At 46.9% G+C, this 19279-nt stretch overlaps 1 protein-coding gene and 1 long non-coding RNA gene across 8 annotated transcripts, besides 3 other annotated features; one reads left to right on the top strand and one right to left on the bottom strand.

The window, feature by feature from the left end:
- Positions 1 to 445: 445 nt before the first annotated feature.
- Positions 446 to 9930, bottom strand: TRIM31-AS1 (TRIM31 antisense RNA 1). The gene is made up of 4 exons (NR_126470.1): positions 9783 to 9930; positions 7383 to 7507; positions 3331 to 3452; positions 446 to 599 (listed from the first exon to the last, which is right to left on the bottom strand). It is a non-coding gene; the product is annotated as a TRIM31 antisense RNA 1 (long non-coding RNA).
- Positions 1438 to 2637: an enhancer, noted in NCBI's record as "CDK7 strongly-dependent group 2 enhancer chr6:30080310-30081509 (GRCh37/hg19 assembly coordinates)". NCBI's record gives its function as "activates an origin of replication core promoter dependent on BRD2, BRD4, P300/CBP, MED14 and CDK7 cofactors, with strong dependence on CDK7, by STARR-seq in HCT116 cells {active_cell/tissue: HCT116}" and the evidence as "EXISTENCE:reporter gene assay evidence [ECO:0000049][PMID:35650434]".
- Positions 2080 to 12273, top strand: TRIM31 (tripartite motif containing 31). 7 transcript variants are annotated; one of them, NR_134870.2, is made up of 10 exons: positions 2080 to 2106; positions 2282 to 2781; positions 3427 to 3522; positions 4492 to 4722; positions 6122 to 6144; positions 7002 to 7117; positions 9928 to 10002; positions 11003 to 11068; positions 11381 to 11698; positions 11925 to 12273. NR_134870.2 is itself a non-coding variant. In XM_047418110.1 (10 exons), exons 2-10 carry the CDS (start codon positions 2365 to 2367, stop codon positions 11963 to 11965), a joined length of 1263 nt encoding a protein of 420 aa, XP_047274066.1. In that variant the 5' UTR covers positions 2080 to 2106; positions 2282 to 2364; the 3' UTR covers positions 11966 to 12273. The 7 variants fall into 7 exon arrangements, 5 of the variants coding, with proteins under 5 accessions (XP_047274066.1, XP_011512567.1, XP_011512566.1 ...); XM_047418110.1 differs by having other exon boundaries at positions 7005 to 7117; positions 11381 to 11581; XM_011514265.2 differs by having other exon boundaries at positions 11381 to 11581.
- Positions 12255 to 12754: an enhancer, noted in NCBI's record as "H3K4me1 hESC enhancer chr6:30070193-30070692 (GRCh37/hg19 assembly coordinates)". NCBI's record gives its function as "activates a minimal SCP1, AML or CMV promoter by ChIP-STARR-seq in primed H9 embryonic stem cells {active_cell/tissue: H9 hESC(primed)}" and the evidence as "EXISTENCE:reporter gene assay evidence [ECO:0000049][PMID:30033119]".
- Positions 14242 to 14751: an enhancer, noted in NCBI's record as "H3K4me1 hESC enhancer chr6:30068196-30068705 (GRCh37/hg19 assembly coordinates)". NCBI's record gives its function as "activates a minimal SCP1, AML or CMV promoter by ChIP-STARR-seq in primed H9 embryonic stem cells {active_cell/tissue: H9 hESC(primed)}" and the evidence as "EXISTENCE:reporter gene assay evidence [ECO:0000049][PMID:30033119]".

Raw genomic sequence — 19279 nt, 5'->3', positions numbered from 1 at the left:
GTAGTGAACCGAGATCACGCCATTGCACTCCAGTCTGGGCAATAATAGTGAAACTCTGTCTCAAAAAAAAAAAAAAGAAAGAAGAAAGAAAAAAAATATATGTATATATATATCTCCATTCAGTCCAGTGGATGGATGACCCAGGATAACAATAATAATTCTGAGAGAGTAAAGCACCTTTGAAACACTGTAGATTCTCATTTTTTATGTCTAAATTTCCTTCCTCATGAAGCCATCAGTACCTGTTTGGTGACAGTTCTTTGAAACTCTCCAGTGGTGTTCATATGAGTATTTTCATTCTCTCTGCTGGGTTGCCCAGCTTCATTGAAATACCAATGTTCTTTTAAAATATTTGTTTATCATTTTTAAAGATTACTATTTGTTTTCATTAATGCTGAAACAAGAAAGAATAAAGAAGACTTAATGTGGAATAGGAAACCTGGAATTAAGTCTGAGATCTGTCATTTATTAGCTGGATGAGCTGGAACAATTAGTAGTGTCTCTAAACCAGGGGTTATCAATGTGTGAGCCTCCATCAGGAGCATCGACTTCTCCAGAGAATTTGCTTAAGATGTCAATCATCAGGCTCCACCAAGGACCTGTTGAAAGAGAAAGTCTCTACTGGAGTTCAGCAAATCTGAATTTTAACAAGTTTTCCAAGTGATTCTGAAGAATACTGAGTTCCTTTTTTGAGAAAGGATAAAGATAATTTCTTACAGGTGAGACTTAAATGAGGTAATATAAGCAAAATAAATCTATAAATCAGAGTCATAATGTCAAATGCCTTCAAGGGCCAAGGAGACGTGAGGTAGCAGAGCGGTGGGGAACATAGCCACCCTCTCTAAAGGCATCTACATTATCATTATTTTCTAAATCATCATGCCAGTCAAACAAAACCTGTCAAAAGTTAAATTCTGCTTCTAGGGGCCAGCAGTTTAGGAGTGTAAGTAAAACAATTTACAGATGTTAGACTGTTTTAATTTAACCCTAAAACAAACAAAAAGAAAGGTCTGGAGGTATAACATTTCTGAAAGTCTTTGGTTTACAGCAGTTGCTATAAGGGGAGCCACATAATTTATAGTCCAAACTGGACATTTCTGAAAGTGAAAGGAGGTGCTATTAATAATTACACCAGGACAAAGTGAAACCCAGGATGGTTCCAGGCAAAGCAGAGTGTATGATCACTCTGGCTATTATTATAATAATCATCCACAAGCCCTGTTTGACCTAAGATTAAGATCAGACAAAAATTAATGGTGTACTTCTTGCTGGGGACAGACGGCTGATAATGGAGAGTGAGGAGGTGAGGGTGGAAGCTATACCAAGAGAAGGGGTAGGGAGGAAGCACCCTTTTCCTTAAGACAAGAGGCAAGGAGGGAAGGTTAGGACATGAATGTACAGAAGGGAATGTATGTAACACTGGTTGATATATTCCTAGTCATAACAAAAGCCATAGAAGGCAAGTCAGGGATCAGAGAAGCACCAAGAAGGAAGAAGAAGAACATATAGACAGAATTGGCAAAGCAAAGAATGGGCACGGAGACACCAGCATACTGGAGACATACAGAGAAAAAATCAACAGAGGACAGACTACTACAGGTGTTGTGGGGAGACAGAAGATCACCAGGGGCAAGAGCAAAGTGCAAAAACAAAGAACAACTCTTTAGAAAGGAAGTTCCTTGCCTATCCTACTGAGCTAGGGAGTGGTTGGTTGACCCTGTGACTGGAAATTCCCCAAGGTAGGTGATGATAACCTCCACATTTTCACAAAATTCTGTGAGGAGCCAAAGCACCTGAGGTAGAGAATTGCCCTTCCCCTACTTTCCAGATGCTCTACCAAGGCTTGAACTTTGCATACAAGATGCCCAAAGCATTGCAGTGAACTGGCTGTGACCTTTCAGTAGGCATCACCACCCACCCCTCCACTCCCTACTCAGAGCTGATTGGGAAATCCCCCATAAGTGGTGTTTGGTGCCCCGGTCATTCTGATCTTAGTCAACCACCATACAAACATACCTTTAGTCCAAAGTTCAGGACAACTTATTTCACTTTATAAGCAGCCTATTACACATTCAAAGTATCCATTTGTTCTCAAGAGGTAGCAAGGTAGGACTGCCCATCTGTTTTCCTCTCTTTATAATATTTTCTAGATCCTAAATTTTACGCTTTTCTATCATTTCTTTATTTTTTTCTCCCTCTTCTTTTCCTCTCTCTCTGCTCTTCTAACTAATTGGCAGAATCTCTGACCTCCACTTTCTCTGACTCCCTTCTCCCTTCCTAGAAACAGTATCCACAGTGGACTCCGGGGCTCCTACAGACTTGGCACAGCTTCCTACAGTCTTGAAACAGCCCTGTTGTTCTGTCATGGCCAGTGGGCAGTTTGTGAACAAACTGCAAGAGGAAGTGATCTGCCCCATCTGCCTGGACATTCTGCAGAAACCTGTCACCATCGACTGTGGGCACAATTTCTGCCTCAAATGCATCACTCAGATTGGGGAAACATCATGTGGATTTTTCAAATGTCCCCTCTGCAAAACTTCCGTAAGGAAGAACGCAATCAGGTTCAACTCGCTGTTGCGGAATCTGGTGGAGAAAATCCAAGCTCTACAAGCCTCTGAGGTGCAGTCCAAAAGGAAAGAGGCTACATGCCCGAGGCACCAGGAGATGTTCCACTATTTCTGCGAGGATGATGGGAAGTTCCTCTGTTTTGTGTGTCGTGAATCCAAGGACCACAAATCCCATAATGTCAGCTTGATCGAAGAAGCTGCCCAGAATTATCAGGTAGGCATTTGAGGTTTCTTCCCTGTTCCCCCATCAGCCCAGGAGTTCAGTGAGGCCCTGGAAACTGCTACCTTCCCACTGAGGGTTTGCACCCCATTGCCCCCACCCCTTGGGCTTGAGTGGGCAGCTCGCAGTCAGGCACAGTGGGTTCAAAGAGCTGAGTCTGGGGAACTGCTGACTCTCTAAATCAAGGTGCAATGGAGAATGGAAAGGATGTGAAAATTTGACTCAGAAGGTTTGGGCTCAAGCCCAGTCTTGTGAGTTTACTGTACAACCTGCAAGGAATCACTTTACCTCTCTGAGCCTCAGGTACCTCACCTTTCAAATGGCAAAAACAAAACAACTCTCTTAAAGTTGTTGGTAGGACAGATGAAGGGAAGTTTGTAGTTCTTTGATAATTCCAAAGCACCATCCATAGTCCTAGTTAGTCATAAATAACTATGTTCTGGTCATTTAGGTCACTTAGGCTCCAGATTTCTCCCTTCTCAGCAACCCCTTTCCCCGCCAGCTTGAGAAAGGCGAGTCCTTAATAATTACACAAGGACTCACCTGGAGAGTGTCACCAGCTCTCCTAAGAGACCAGGAGGATTTTATGAGGCCAGAAATCTCCAGGCACAGCCTGTCCAAACGGCCCTCTTTCCGCAGGGGCAGATTCAAGAGCAGATCCAAGTCTTGCAGCAAAAGGAGAAGGAGACAGTACAAGTGAAGGCACAAGGTGTACACAGGGTCGATGTCTTCACGGTAAGAAAAACTCCATCCCACGATCTCTGGAAGCAGAAACATCTCTGCCAAAGCTCCTGGAATCCCCTATTACACTGACCCCTCAGAAAAAGATCCAGTGAGCCATGTCCTCTCCTCGGCGCCTCAGCACCTGACCGGCCAGGCGGCATCACCTCCCGCGTCGGCCTCGCTATTACAGCGGGCTGACTGCTCAGTCTCCACCGGCAGACAAGGTGGGGCACGGAAAACCCGCGCTGGTCTTAGAATCGCAAGTACAGGTTTTTAAGGCCGAGCTGCGCCCTCAACGGATTCCCCAATTAGAAAATGAAGACATTGGCCGGGCGCGGTGGCTCACGCCAGTAATCACAGCACTCTGGGAGGCTGAGGATCGCTTGAGCCCAGGAGTTTGAGACCAGCCTGGGCAACATAGCGAGACTCTCCTCTTAATTAAAAAAAAAAAGAAAGAAAACTAGCCGGGCGTGGTAGCACACGCCTGTAGTCCCAGCTACTAGAGAGGCTGGGAGGTGAAAGTATTGTTTGAGCCTGGGAGGATGAGGCTGCAGTGAGCCGTGATCGTGCACTGCACTCCAGCCTGAGTGACAGAGTGAGAGACTGTCTCAAAAAAAAAAAAAAAAAAAGACAGAAGGAAAATGAAGACATTGTGACCCCACTTACCTATTTTCCTGTGTGCGTGAAAGGAATAAAATCTATATGAAAGATTATAAACTGAAAAGCCTTCTGGAATTGTATTAGACAGTTCCTTGAAGGCAAGTGGTAAACCATAAATTAATAATTTCGCTTAAAGCTGAGCACGTAGTAGGTGCTTTTAGAAGTTTGTTCTCCTCTCCTTTCCTTTCTTCCAGGTCTGCCCTGGCACATTGCTCTGGTTGGGAATTCCACACAAACTTAATAAAATTAATGGCTGAATAAAGTGGGCTAGAAGGACCTTCGAGGCCATCCTCTCACCCTCTGCCTGTCCCTGTTTCTTAGGACCAGGTAGAACATGAGAAGCAAAGGATCCTCACAGAATTTGAACTCCTGCATCAAGTCCTAGAGGAGGAGAAGAATTTCCTGCTATCACGGATTTACTGGCTGGGTCATGAGGGAACGGAAGCGGGGAAACACTATGTTGCCTCCACTGAGCCACAGTTGAACGATCTCAAGAAGCTCGTTGATTCCCTGAAGACCAAGCAGAACATGCCACCCAGGCAGCTGCTGGAGGTGAGTCCCTTGGGGGCAGAATTGCAGAGAGGTAGCAGCCCATCCCTAGTCTCAGGTCAGAGCATGGACCACTGGCAGAATACCTGAGATTGCCCCAACCATCCTACCTCTAGCCCAGTGCTGTCCAATAGCAATATGTGAGCCGCATGTATTAGAATGAAAATGTGAGCCACATATGTAATTCATAAATATAATTCTGGCCACATGTGTGATTTAGAAATGTAGTTTCAGCCACATATGGAATTACAAATTTTTCTAGTTAGTCACATTAAAATGATAAAAGTGAAATTAATTTTAATAAAATATTTTAACTCAATATATCTGAAATATTATCCTTTCAGCCTGTAATGAATATTTTAAAAGTATTAATGAGATATTTCACATTCTGGGTTTTTGGTGGTTTTTTTTTTTTTTTTTTTTACACTGAGTCTTTGAAATTGTGTGTATATTTTTCACTTTGGCACATCTCAATTCAGATGCTAAATTGTCAATTGTTAAAGTAAAATATAGTCTTACCAAATCAATAAAGTTGTGTTTAATGGAAAAAGTACTTTACCCTTCTTCTATTTATTTTATTTTATTTTTTGAGATGGAATCTTGCTCTGTTGCCCAGGCTGGAGTACAGTGGCGCGATTTTGGCGCACTACAACTTCCGCCTCCTAGGCCCAAGTCCCAAGTAGCTGGGATTACAGGTCCCCACCACCACGCCCAGCTAATTTTTGTATTCTTAGCAGACACGGGGTTTTACCATGTTGGCCAGGATGGTCTCGAACTCCTGACCTCAAGTGATCTGCCCACCTCAGCCTCCCAAAGTGCTGGGATTACAGGCGTGAACCACCGTGCCTGGCCTCTATTTTTAATTTAAATTTGAATTAGTAAAAATGAAATTAAAAATTCAGTTCTTTGTCACACTAGCCACAATTTCCAATGTTCAGTAGCCACATGTGGTTGGTGGCTACCATATTGGACAGTGCAAGTCTAGCTGGTGCTTAAAATAAGCTGAGATGATTCCTCCTCAAGTCATCTATTCTCCCACAGGTTCAAAAACCTATTTATTTATTTTAAGAAAGATCATGCAAAGCCATTCTAGCCTTTCTCCTGCCCTGGCTAGCAGGCTCCCTTGTTCAGTCTCAGAGCCAAATTCATCTTCTAAATCTCACTCTTCTCTTCTTCACTCAGTTCTTCTTGAGGTCAAAACACTTTTCTGCTTACTGGCAGAGCAGTGCTTCTTGGAGAAGCCCTTCGTGGTGGGGAGAGGGGAGGAGGATGGGGTAAGAGAGACTTGGAGGGGTTCTTACTCCTCCTGCTCTGCCCCACACCCAGCAGGCTCTGTATCTCCTCCTTGGCTCCTGGGAATCAGCCAAGTGCTGAGGCTGTGCTGTTTCTCTTTCTCTTCTAGGATATCAAAGTCGTCTTGTGCAGGTATGATGGGCCACCCCAAATGTATTTTGCCTACTGATTCATCCACACACAATTCTCAGCGTATATCCAAATGCAGTCAACATTCCTCTCTCAGAAATACCCACCCACCTCTAACTCTGCATTCATACATTTAGGCTGCAGCCGGGGAATGCCTATGCCAACCATATTAGCACGTGGTTGGTTGTTAAAGAAACCAGCTGTTTTCTCAGCCTTCCTCCTTCTTCAGCACAGATTCTACTATTTCCTGAATGCCCCCTTGCTCAACTGAATAGCTCCTGGGTCCCCTACTCTGTCTCCCTGACCCTGTTTTTTTCCCTCCTCTCTGTCTCCATCTCCCATCTTCATTTCCATATCTCCCTATGCCCTACCTCACTCCCGCCCCATATCCCTAGCCCTGACTTTCTGACTCCCAGCTCACTATCCCTTAACCGCCAGGTCTTCTTTTTTTTTTTTTTTTTTTTTTTTTGAGATGGAGCTTTGCTCTTGTTGCTCAGGCTGGAGTGCAGTGGTGCAATCTCAGCTCACTGCAACCTTTGTCTCCCAGGTTCAAGTGATTCTCCTGCCTCAGCCTCCCAAGTAGCTGAGACTACAGGCGCTTGCCACCAAGCCTGGCTAATTTTCATATTTTTAGTAGAGACCAGGTTTTACCATGTTGGCCAGGCTAGTCTTGAACTCCTGACCTCAGGTGATCCACCCGCCTCAGCCTCCCAAAGTGCTGGGATTACAGGTGTGAGCCACTGCTCTCAGTTCTACCCCCAGGTCTTCATCCCCTCATTTCTCAACCGCGTATCTCAGATCCTCCTTCTCCCACACCTCATCCCCTGATCTCACCAACCAGCTCAACCACATCTTCCTAGAAGTGAAGAGTTTCAGTTTCTCAACCCAACCCCTGTTCCTCTGGAACTGGAGAAAAAACTCAGTGAAGCAAAATCAAGACATGACTCCATCACAGGGAGCCTAAAAAAATTCAAAGGTAAGGAAGAGGCTGTATTTTCTCTATTCACCTACTTCCAGGAGATTCTCTCCCTGCTCACTCCACTGAAATGGAACTGTGACTCATACATGCCAACAATCCCTGGGCCCTTCTAGTGCCAGGCTTCTGGCTGAGTACTTTCCACGCATCAGTATGCCTCCTCCCAGGCATTTCTTATATTCTGTCTTTGTGATATGTTATTTATCTGCCTCCCTGACTCCTGCGAGAGCCATAGAGGGCCTGGACCTATTCCCCATGTGGACACCTGGCCTAGAGCAGTGGCTGTTGGGAAGTTGGTGATGAGTTGTCTGGTGGACCAGAGATGGCCTCAGGCAGGGACTGTCATCTCTGACTTCTCCTTCTCTGGTGCACACTGGTGTCTCCTCCTGCCTACAGAAGAAGAGAAAATAAATTCAAAATCAGTGACATTCTGGGGAGAAACCTCTTCCAGCCTTACAGGGAAACAGAAATCAGCAGAACAGTAGTGGATGACTTGGGTTTTAGATGTTCGCCAGATATTTTTCATAAACCTTTCTGTGTTTGCAACTAGGAAGAAGGGTTAGTATTTGTAAGGACTCCCCTTAATGTGAAGACTGTGTTGGTCTAAGGTGGGCATAAAGACAGCTAGATGGAATCTTCTGAAATTATCACCTGGAGTTCCACACCCACCTCCCCCACCCCAACCCCCAGCCCCCCATACACAAACACTTCCCCTTGGGACTACGGAAAAGGAGGACCAGGGCAATGCCCCAAGATCTCCACCCATTCAGCCGGGAATCTCCACTCGGCAGACATAAACAGGAAAGCATGTTTTGTTTTATTCTTAATTTTGTTGTCTGAGCTTTTCTTTTGTCCACTAACTGCTCTGCTTTGTCTAGCTCCTCCCACCCCACTGGGCATGATCTCAGCCGATCTAGCAACTTTATTTATTTGTTTATTTATTTATTTATTTTTGATGGAGTTTTGCTCTTATTGCCCAGGATAGAGTGCAGTGGCGCAATCTCGGCTCACTGCAACCTCCGCCTTCTGGTTTCAAGCGATTCTCCTGCCTCAGCTTCCCAAGTCGCTGGTGTTACAGGCGCACACCACCATGCCCAGCTAGTTTTTTGTATTTTTAGTAGAGACGGGGTTTCACCAGGTTGGTCAAGCTGGTCTCGAACTGCTGACTTGTGATCCACCCGCCTCAGCCTCCCAAAGTGCTGGGATTACAGGCGTGAGCCACCACGTCCAGCCCGATCCAGCACCTTTCTAGGCTCTTCAGGTCAAGAATAGTTTGGTTCTAGTTTGGAATTTCAATAAAGGAGCCCAGCCCTTTCCACTTCATCAGGTTTGGAGTTGGGGAGACTGGTGTGCTCTACTCTGTATCCCCCTTTTCTTTCCCTCTTTCACATACACAAACTCACACACACACAGTCCCCCAACTCCCACCTGGCCCTATTTCCTTCTTTTTTTTTTCTCTTATTTTTATTTTATTTTTACCCCAAAGAAGAAGGCACAATGGCCACCTGGCCCTATTAAAGCCTAGGAAATACAGGAGGTGGTAGGGAGTCTACTTATACCACAGGTCCAATCTCCACAGTTCTTATTATGAGGGTTGGTTCTCCCTGCTCGGGGTGACTGGGTCTGGAACACGTACGTGGAGAAGGGTGTGGCTGGGCCCTGAAGCCGCTAAAGGCCCTTGTAGGTGAAGTGCTCCCAGGCAGTGTTTCCTATGCTCTAGGTTTGCAGACCCCTCCTAAGAGGGCCCCCGCGTCTCCCCTGAGCAGTCCCCATGACTGGGCTGGTGGCTCTCAGGGAAGCTACCCACGCTTGTCCCACTACCTAGCCCCAGGCTGTCTTGTGCTGTCTTGGGGCTGCAAGACACTGGGGGAAGGGTGCTGGGGCCAGAAGTAGCTCCCCATCTAGGGGCTCCACCCTATAGTTCTCCACTCAGTCCAGCACCCCTACAGGAAATCTAGGCCAGGAATGGGCCATTGTCCCCAGCTTCTGGGCTCATCCTCTACCTGCAAAAGGAGTCTCTTCTGGCAGGGGTGAACTGGGAGATGAAGGCACTCGGCCTCCCCTTGCAGGAGCTCTGTCTTCGTTCCCCCTCTCAAGCCCTCTTTCATGGGAAAGAGGGCAGGACTGCCATCCAGGCTTTAGGAGAGTGGGGCCCCCCCTTACCCCACCTGGCTCCTGGGTGGTTAGCCCTACAGTAGGCCTTCTGAAGCTAAAGGGTGAAGCCTCAAGGCACTCTTTGTCCTGAGCACCTACCTTTGTCAGGCAGTGAGAAAGGGGCTAGCTCTGCACTGTCCAATTTAGTAGCTGCTAGCCACATGTGCTGACAGGCACTTGAAATGTAGCTAGTCCAAATTTAAACATGCTATATGTGAAGAATCATTAATTTCACAAGATTGAGTGTAAAAAGAGACTGTAAAAGATAGCAATAATTTTTATAATACATGTTGAAATAACATTTTGAGAATATTGAGTTAAATAAAATATATAATTAAAGTTAATTTTACTAGTTTCTTTCTACTTTTTAAATGTGACTACTAGAAAATTTAAAAATATATAAGTGGCTCACATTCGTGACTCAGATTACATTCATCATTCATACTGGACAGTGCTGGGCTAGGCAGTCACCACAGGAAATCAGAAAGGGCATCTCTCAAGGGTTGCATACCTTCCTGGTCCAATAAGAATATGAGAGTCAAATGCAGCTTCTACTTCTCCCAGGCATTTCAAATTAGTGCCTTGCTGTGTGATAGTGAGTTCTTTGCTCAACCCCTCTGGACTCTCACCATTTCATCCCATTCTTTATTCCCCAGACCAACTCCAGGCTGATAGGAAAAAAGATGAAAACAGATTCTTCAAAAGCATGAATAAAAATGACATGAAGAGCTGTAAGTGAGAAATGATGGTTGGTTGCTTCTGCCATTTGGGGAAAGTGAGAAAAGGGGAAGAATTGTGTCTCTATGATTACATGAAGGCCAGATATAAGTGAATGCCGATTCCTCAGCCAATTGAGAGAACAGGCATATGGTTGTTTTATTATTTTAAACTCAGGTAACTCACAAAACAGTCACTAATCCCAAACTTTGAAGTATTCAGAAGTAATAGAAAATTACAAATGTATTTCTTCACTCCTAGAGACAGGGAGGAAAAAGTGGGACAAGAAGGAGGCAGCTCCACCTCTGTAGTATTTGCTGCCCCTACAGGGCAGCAGGTTTCGAGGCAAACTCCTCTGGGTGTGAGGTCAGTACAGCTCAGGGGATGGAGACCCACTGTAATAACAGCCTGTGCTAAAGTCATTAGATATGGTTCTGCCACCTAAGACAATAACAGTAGAAGTACCATTTCTTAAAGGACCACTATGTGCGCATCTAATATTTCAAAACCCCACAACTATCCTCCAAGATAGGTGTTATTATCTGCAACTTACAGTGAGGTCCATGTAGCTTCCGGGAGGGGAGGTAAGTTACCCAGGTCATATGATCATTAAGTGAAAGAGAGAGAATTAGAACTCCTTTCTCCAAAGCCAGAAACTACAGAATGCATTCCAAAGCCAGAGAGCAGGATTTAGGGATCCTATTCCACCAGCATTTCTCCACAAAAGGAGCTACCGGTGTTTAGAAAGGCCATCTTTGTTATGCTCCATGACTTTTGCCCTGTTAAATGCTTAGTATCCCAGGCCCCAGAAAGCCCTATAAGCCAGTAGAGAACCACACTCTTGTTGTCACTGAGACAACCTGAAAGGTTTCCACACTTCCCCCTGGGTGGGGAATGGGTCCCACTGAGAACCATTGACTGTTCTGATTGATGATGGCAGGGTGCTTGTTTTTGTTTTTAATTTGCAGCTTCTGGTTATCAAGACCAAATAGGTTTTCTCTCCCCAATTTTTAGGGGGCTTGTTACAGAAAAATAATCATAAAATGAACAAAACCTCAGAGCCCGGGTCATCTTCTGCAGGTAAGAGTCCTGTCTCTGAATACTAAGGGACCTCTAAGTCTACAGGTGGTCAAAATGCTGTATCCACCCAATTCCACTAAATGGAATAAATGAATAAATGAATGAATTCATTTATTCCATTTCCTCAGTTCCTCCCCAAATTACACCTCTGCCAGGAAACAGAGGGCGCTCCGACTTGTTCAGGTGTACTTTCTTGAGTTTCACCTCCATCCCTCCTGCTGTATGTAGAGCTCAGCTGTGCTGTCTGGCAATGGAGGATTGCTGCCGAGGTGCTCCCGCTGACCTCTTTTCTCCTTTCCTTCTCCCGCAAAGGCGGCAGAACTACATCGGGGCCACCAAATCACCACTCTTCAGCCCCATCCCACTCCCTGTTTCGGGCCTCGTCTGCTGGGAAAGTCACTTTTCCAGTATGTCTCCTGGCCTCTTATGATGAGATTTCTGGTCAAGGAGCGAGCTCTCAGGATACGAAGACATTTGACGTTGCGCTGTCCGAGGAGCTCCATGCGGCACTGAGTGAGTGGCTGACAGCGATCCGGGCTTGGTTTTGTGAGGTTCCTTCAAGCTAAGCCAGCTCAGAGAACACGGGGAGCGGTGGTGCTACACGGACTTCGGAGCATAGAGTGGCGCTGAGTGAGTGGCTGAGACCGACCACGGTTCTTGACTTAGTGGAATTGGGTCGAAGGAGTGGAGAATGGGAGGGCTCGGGCTACTGAGAGTGGAGATGGGGGCGGGGGTGGTGGTGAAGAGAGTTGGAGAAGGAATGGACGAATTCTTGAGCAAAAGGAGGGGAAGAGACAATCTCCAGCCACCCGCCCCACGCTTGACTTCTTATCACTTTGGCTGTGGTGCCGCCTAGTGGAAAAAGGAAGTCCCTGCAGCAGTCCCCGCACTCTTTAAGCAGCTGTTTACCGAAGGCACCAGTTCAGCCAGGAGTGAAATCCGGAGAGGAGCAACGCCAGCCTGGGTCACAGTCCATCAAACCCCATGAGCCCGACCACTCTCGCTCTTCCTTACATTCCCACGTCCCCCTTCTCTCCCAACCCCTCATATCAGCAAGGGAAATTAATTAATGAGATTTGATAAATCAGTAGATAGAATGAGGTCCCCATTCTGAAATATTTAGCAGACTGGAACCACCACGCAAGCCTCTGTAGGGGGTGGATGGAGACACTTCTAACTTTAATAAACTGCGACTGAACGTGGAATCCTAGTAAAAGTGTATGTGTGTGTGGCGGGGGATGACTATTCCTCCTTTTGTATTCCAACACTTTCACTCATCCCTGTGTTTGAGGAACTCCACTTTAGAAAATTACTGGCCCTCAGAAAGTCTGAGCCTTGACCCTCTTATACTAGACTCAATTCTTGTCTTAGACATGGGAATTAGGGGCCACGGGAAATGGACAAGGAAGAGATGGTCTCATCTTCGGGTGTTGAAATGATCTCACCACCACCACCAATGAAGAACTTCTCTCTGCGCCCACAGAACAACACATTGTGAAATTTAGGGATTAACTTTGAGGAGGAGGAGGCGGTGCCGGGCCTAAGACTTCTCTGGGGACCACAAAGGCTGTGACTGGGAAGAGAAAGCCTCTCTGGCGGCATCGAGCGGGGCGGGTGGTGGGACGGGGGTATCAGAGGAAGGTAGGGGGTTTGGACAACTTGACCCGGGGTTGGCCACCTCTTTCTCCTCATCTTCACACAGCCCCTGTGACACTGGACGCAGCCTCGGCCCACCCGGATCTCATCCTTTCCCAGGATGAGATAGTGACGCTGAACCTCGCATCCCAGGGCGGTTCGCAGAAGCGGGGCAACCCCCGACGCTTCTACAGGTTCCGCTGAGTGCTGGGCTCGCTGGGCCTTTGCTCCGGCCGCGGCGCCTGGGAGGCGGAGCTCCAACGGCCCGGGGGCGGGGCCTGCGTGCCGGGGCTTGGCCTTGGAGCTGGTTCCCAGGCGGGGCTTCCTGGAGGTGGAGCCCTTGACCGGCTTCGTGGAGCTGCACAGCAGCGGCTCCCAGTGCCAGGCGCTCATCGAGAGCGGTTCCCGGGAGGATCTCCCGATCTGTCCGAACAAAGTGGGCGTCCGCTTGGATTACTAGGGCGGAGAGGTAGTCTTCTACGACGCCACCTCGAGGACCCACATCTACACTTTCCATGCCTCCTTTCCGGGGCAGATCTCCTTTTTCCAGCTTCTGTTTTCCGGCACCCGGATCACCCTGGGTCGCTAGAGTTGTTCTTTGCCTTCCTCTGCATCTCCTCCTCACTCGCTTCTCGCCCCAGTTTGGGATGTGCTGCAGCTGGAAGGGTTGAAGCTAGGCTTCCAGCAGCCCTATGGGAAGGTTACACCCTTCGGGCTTCCTCCTGATCCAGTCCTGATTTCTCTGACCCTGCTTTAAATATTCCTTCTATCTCAGTTCCTCTCTCCTTACAATATGCCTGGGTCGAAAAGAAAGGCTCAAATACACTAAAAGGCTATACACAAGGCTGTTCATTGCAGCACAGTTGGTAACAGGATAAGACTGGAAACGAACGTCTATCAACAGGTGGTTGAAAAAGCTGCCACGTGCAAGCATCCAGCTGCATCTCGGTTAAGACAGACACAGGGGAGTGGACCACTGACCCCAGCTTGTCCGCCTGTCTCCTCCTCCATTTTACCTCCTGCAGCCCCCGTGGACCTGCACAGGGCTTTGACCCATCTGAACCCCATCCTGAAAACCGACATACGCAAAACTTTTCTAGTTCTTCGTAATACTCAGAAACCAAAATTAATCCCACGACCAGATGCATCCTCCTCTCAAACCCACATCACCACTACCCGCAACAAAAGTCTTGATCATTCCTAGTGTTGCCATGTGAGGGACTGAAGTTAAACCCAGAGAAGGACTGCTCCAGTTTCCTGAGTGAGCCCAAAAAAAGTAAAAGGGCGAGGAGGTTGGAAACGCAGAGACGAAATGACCTCTGGACAGTAAAACCCACCATTTGCGCCAGTTTGGGATGATTATGGGTTCCTTCCTCTTCCTCCCTTCAGGCCGGCTGGGGACTGGGTAGGCGGATGGGACCAGGCGTCTCTAGGCTTTTCCTGCCTCCTCGCTCCGGTAGGGAGAGGGCGGTGTTGCAGGAGGCGTGGGGAGTCGCCCGCCAGCCCACGCTGCTGCCCGGCGCGTGGCTGCGCAGCGGGAGGGCGGGCCCAGGTGTCGGGGCGGGAGTGAGCCAACGCCCGGAGCACGGATTCCAGGGGCGCTCAGTCAGCCCTGGCCAGGCTCCCCCATCCACTTCCCCCAGTCGCCCGCGAGGCGCCGCCGATTACATAAACAGCCTTCACCTTCCTGCGGAGGGGACAACAAAGGGCTGGGGACACACAGGCCGAGACCCGAAAGTAACGCCCCTCCGGACTTTTATTCAGAATCAGCCGGGACTGCCCAAATCCCTATTTACAGTTCTCACAGCCCTCGTCATGGTCATGGACTTCGCGCCTTTTACCTTGTTTCCTTTCATTGTGTACAGATTCAACTTCCTTACTACAAAGGGAGATCTTTCCCAAATGTCTTAAGTTGATTTTATACTTCCTGACTCTACCAACCCCAGACACTTAGCACGGACCCTAGAATGGGGTACTTGATTAATAAATATTTACTAAATTAAAACCATGCCCTAATTTCTCTTTTCCCGCGAAAGACTGATGTCTTGGAAATCCCACTCAATTTTCGTGGACCAGCTCCACCTCACCTCCTCCGGGAAGCCTTCCCCAGGCAGGGTTCCTGGTACTTTCTGTTGGAAAAGTGTGCACACTCCCAAAGCCACTACAGCCATCTCCCTGCAGCACTTACCGCAAGTTGACTGTGAAGTCCTCGAGAACAGAAGCAGCATCTCACTCCTTTTCGTTTCACTCTCCCACCCTCCTTGAGCACTACAGGGCCTGGTTCCTAAAGGGATGTAAATGAAGGAAGGGTTCAAAGTAAATGAAAGAATACTTTGTAGCAAGGTTTAAATTTGGGGAGGTCTTCCAACCTGGACCTTAACCTTAAACGATGATCACACTCTTCTCAGCCGTGAGGGATGGGGGTCGCCTCTTTAGGAGCCTCTCAGAAGCTCATTTACTCAAAGAGAGTCCTGGCCATTCATTCGATGTTATGGCCGGGAAGTCAAGTGAATACTGAACCCTGGCCAAGATTTCCATCCCCCAGTCCAAAGTGTTTTCTGCTTCTTCACACAGTTATGATACTACTAACAGCATGTTTACAATGTTGAACAGTTTATTAAATGGATTCAGATACATTATTCCATTTGCTTCTCACAACTGCTTAAATTAGGTATGGTTACATTCCCATATTCCAAATATGGTATGAATGTTCAAACTCAGGTCTTTCAACACAAAGCACATGCAAAGTTGACTTGAAAAGATAAAATCTCATAAAATATATGATAAAATGGCTATAACAAATAGTAACTTTCCACGGTATTTCCCTACACAGACGGACACACACACACGTATACATGCACACACACACACACAACTTATCTGCTATATTAGTTTCCTAGGGCTTCCATAACACATCACCATAGACTGTGTGGCTTGAAACAATGACACATTCTCTTACAGTTTTGGAAGCAAGAAGTCTGAAGTCAAGGTGTCAGCAGAGCCATGCTCTCTCCAAAGGCTCTAGGAAAAAATGCTTCATTGCCTCTTCTAGCTCCTGGTGTTTGCTGGCAATCCGTGGCATTCTTTGGCTTGTAGATGCCTCACTCCAATCTCTGACAGCATTTTCACATGGCCGTCTCCCATGTGTCTGTGTCAAAATTTCCCTCCTCTTATAATGGCCCACCCTGATCCAATATGACCTCATCTGAACTTGATGAAAAGACCCTATTTTCTTTTTCTCTCTCTCTTTCTTTCCTTCTTTCCTTCCCTCCCTCCCTCCCTCCTTCCTTCTTTCCTTGCTTCCTTCCTTCCTTCTTTCCCTCCCTTTCTTCTTTCTTTCTTTCTTTCTTTCTTTCTTTCTTTCTTTCTTTCTTTCTTTCTTTCTTTCTTTTTTGAGACAAGGTCTGGCTCTATCACCCAGGCTGCAGTGCAGTGGCATGATCTCGGCTTACTGCAACCTCCACCTCACTGGCTCAAGTGATCTTCCCACATCAGCCTCCCGAGTAGGTGGGACTACAGGCACACAGCATGTGGGACTACAGGCACACAGCACCATGCCTGGCTAATTTTTGTATTTTTTGTAGGGACAGGGTTTTGCTATGTTGATCAGTCTGGTCTCCAACTCTTGAGCTCAAGCAATCTGCCCACCTTGGTCTCCCAAAGTGCTGGGATTACAGGGGTGAGCCACCTCATCTGGCCAAGACCCTATTTTTGAATAAAGCCACATACGTAGGTACCTGGGGCTAGGACTTCAATATGTCCTTGGCAGACAAAATTCAACCCACAACTCCATAATCTGTCACCCACAGGAAAGCGAGAACATAAAAAAGAAACAATGGTATTGGAAAAGAGCCAAGGGCAACACTTGGGGGATGCTAAGATGAGCAGAAGGGAAAAGAGATAGTGAGCATAGAGGGTGTACTCTCCAGGGAGGGTCAAATTTGAGTATCTGGCTTGGAAAACCAGAGAAAGGAGAAAGATGGTTTTCAAAAGCTAAAAGAGGAAAAAGCATGGCAGGAGTGGAGAAGTCATTAGGAGGGTGGAAGAGCTGCTCCCTAGGGAGGGAGAGTAAGAGCCACTCCACTCCTGGGGAAATCCAGTGAAAACTGGGGCAAGTGTCAAGAGATGGAGATCCACGGTACTGAGCCCCTTCCCCCACCAGAGTGGCCCCCTTGAGGAGCCAGGGGTCTGCAAGCTCCCAAAGCATATTCCTATAGAAACTCTGGGGTCATGAAGTCATCTTGTCCCCCTTCCCAGACCTGATCCTGCTGCCTGTTTTATACTCATTGTTGCTACCAACCCCCACACAGTCACCCAACCTAGGTGTTATCTTCAACTCTTTCTTCTTCCTCATTCTTACAGTCCTTGAGGCCCCAACCTCCTTGATGTTAGCGCCTACCACAGGACTCCACCCATCTTCCTCCTAGCACTGTCTAGATCAGCCCTCACCTGGATTATGACAGCTGCCTTTCTCATTTCCCTGCCTCCAGACTTATTCTGCCCAATCCATCTTCCATTACCCAGGCCAAAGTCTATGCTTTTCTAAAATTTTATTTTGAAAATCTTCTGACAGAAGAGTTGAATGAATTTTACAGTGACCATCCAAATATTACCACCTACATTTTCTCATTAGCATTTTACTGTACTTGCTTTATCAAATATGTTTCCATCGACCCATTCCTTCATCCTTCTATCCATCTTATAATTTTATGCATTTTAAAGTAAGTTGCAGATATTCAAATGATTTCTAAAAATATAATCTGGTCATGTTAGAACTTGTTGGACTTTCAATAATGCCTCCCTTCTCTAAAGGATAAAGCCTGAACTGCACGTTGGCCTGCCTTCAGCCTAACCCCTGCCCCCACCTGCTTCCCATTTTTCACTCCAGAAAGGCCAAATTGCCTAAAATTCCCCACTCACCACACTGTTTACATCTCCCTGACCCTCTTTCATTGTTCCTTCTTCTTAGCTTGTCCTCAGCCTTCCAGGGCCTCAAACGCCTCCTTCCCTGAAAGCCTTTCTTGATCCCCCACTCCTCTCCGACACTGGTTTAGGCACCACATCTATAAGCACATAGCAGTCCCCAGGGCATACTTTGATCACTGCACTAATCTCCACAATCAAGACGATCTGTTTATGTGTGTTTCTCACCTCTACCCCAACTGAGAGCTTCCTAAAAATTCAGGGATCCTGCTTTATTTGTCTATTGTCCTTGGTACCTAGAACAGTCTGTGGCATGTGTGGGTGCTCCATAAATATTTGTTGAGTGAATGCATTACTGGTTTTGTCCTTTCTAAGAGCACCTCCTGCCTTTGTACCAGCTTCTCCCACACAACATGGGGCCAGGTCTTCAATGTAGATCCCAGAGAGTTAAGAAGGAAGCAAAGAACACTGTTACCCGTGTTTTCCAGCCAAAGACCCCCCAGGAACATAACTGTCATTAAACATGCTGGGTTTATTACTCCTTGCAGCAATGGAGAATGCACCCCATGGGGAGTGTGGGACATTTTAATAAGAGTGTTAGGAAAAAACCTATGATAGGGTTTGGGTTTTGGTTAGGTGATTTGGGGAAAGGTCTAAGGAAGTGGGGGTTTGCTCTGGATTAATGCTGTTAGAAAGCAGAGCAGATCCTGTGAATGAATACCCAAATAAATATTTTCTATAGGGAGGGGAGACTAGAATGAGGGGAAAGCTATAATTGGTAAAGAAGTAGCAAACATTTCTGTTAACCAAGAGAAGGGGTGTTTGGTATTTTGTGGGTGGCACAGTGTCTTTTTTTGGATCTGTGCTCAGAAAAACTTGTGAAGCAGCCTTGCATTGTCTCACTTTATCAAGGTCTAGGAGTAAACTTGTCTGAGATTGGTATTCTGTAATATAGTTTATGCCTACTAGGTGAATAACATGGTTTAGCTCTGTTAGGCCAACTTCTGAATGTCAGAGGCTGCTCTTTTTTTTTCTCTCAGTGTTTAGGTTGGGCATTGGGAAAAAAGATGAATTAGTGGGATTGGAGCATGTGTATAGATATGTGCAGAATCCAGTTCAATGCAAAAAACTTTTCTTTTTTTTTTTTCTTTTTTTTTTTTTTTTTTTGAGACAGACTCTTGCTCTGTTGCCTAGGCTGGAGGGCAGTGGTGCGATCTCGGCTCACTGCAAGCTCTGCCTCCCGGGTTCATGCCATTCTCCTGCCTCAGCCTCCACAGTAGCTGGGACTACAGGTGCCTGCCACCATGCCCGGCTAATTTTTTGTATTTTGTTTAGTAGAGATGGGGTTTCACCATAGCCAGTTGGTCCGATCTCCTGACCTCGTGATCCACCTGCCTCGGCCTCCCAAAGTGCTGAGATTACAGGCTTGAGCCAACGCTTCCGGCCACAAAATTTTTCAAATAGAGGAAGTCTGGAGTTTATTTCCAAGGTGTCCACCTCCCCAATCCAGGCATATATTTCCAGGTCACAGTGCTGACACTTTCAGCCTCCCGCAGTCACACACCCCATGGTCATGGAAAGGGACACGTGGCCCAGGTCCCTGGTGGCTCTGAGTTGTGGGGAGGGAGGAGCCAGTGGCTTTGGCTCTACCCG

This window comes from Homo sapiens, chromosome 6 (genome assembly GCF_000001405.40).
Source record: "Homo sapiens chromosome 6, GRCh38.p14 Primary Assembly".
NCBI classification, from domain to species: domain Eukaryota; kingdom Metazoa; phylum Chordata; class Mammalia; order Primates; family Hominidae; genus Homo; species Homo sapiens.
The sequence above is the reverse complement of the archived record's forward strand: the minus strand, read 5'-3'. Positions and strand labels throughout refer to the sequence as shown.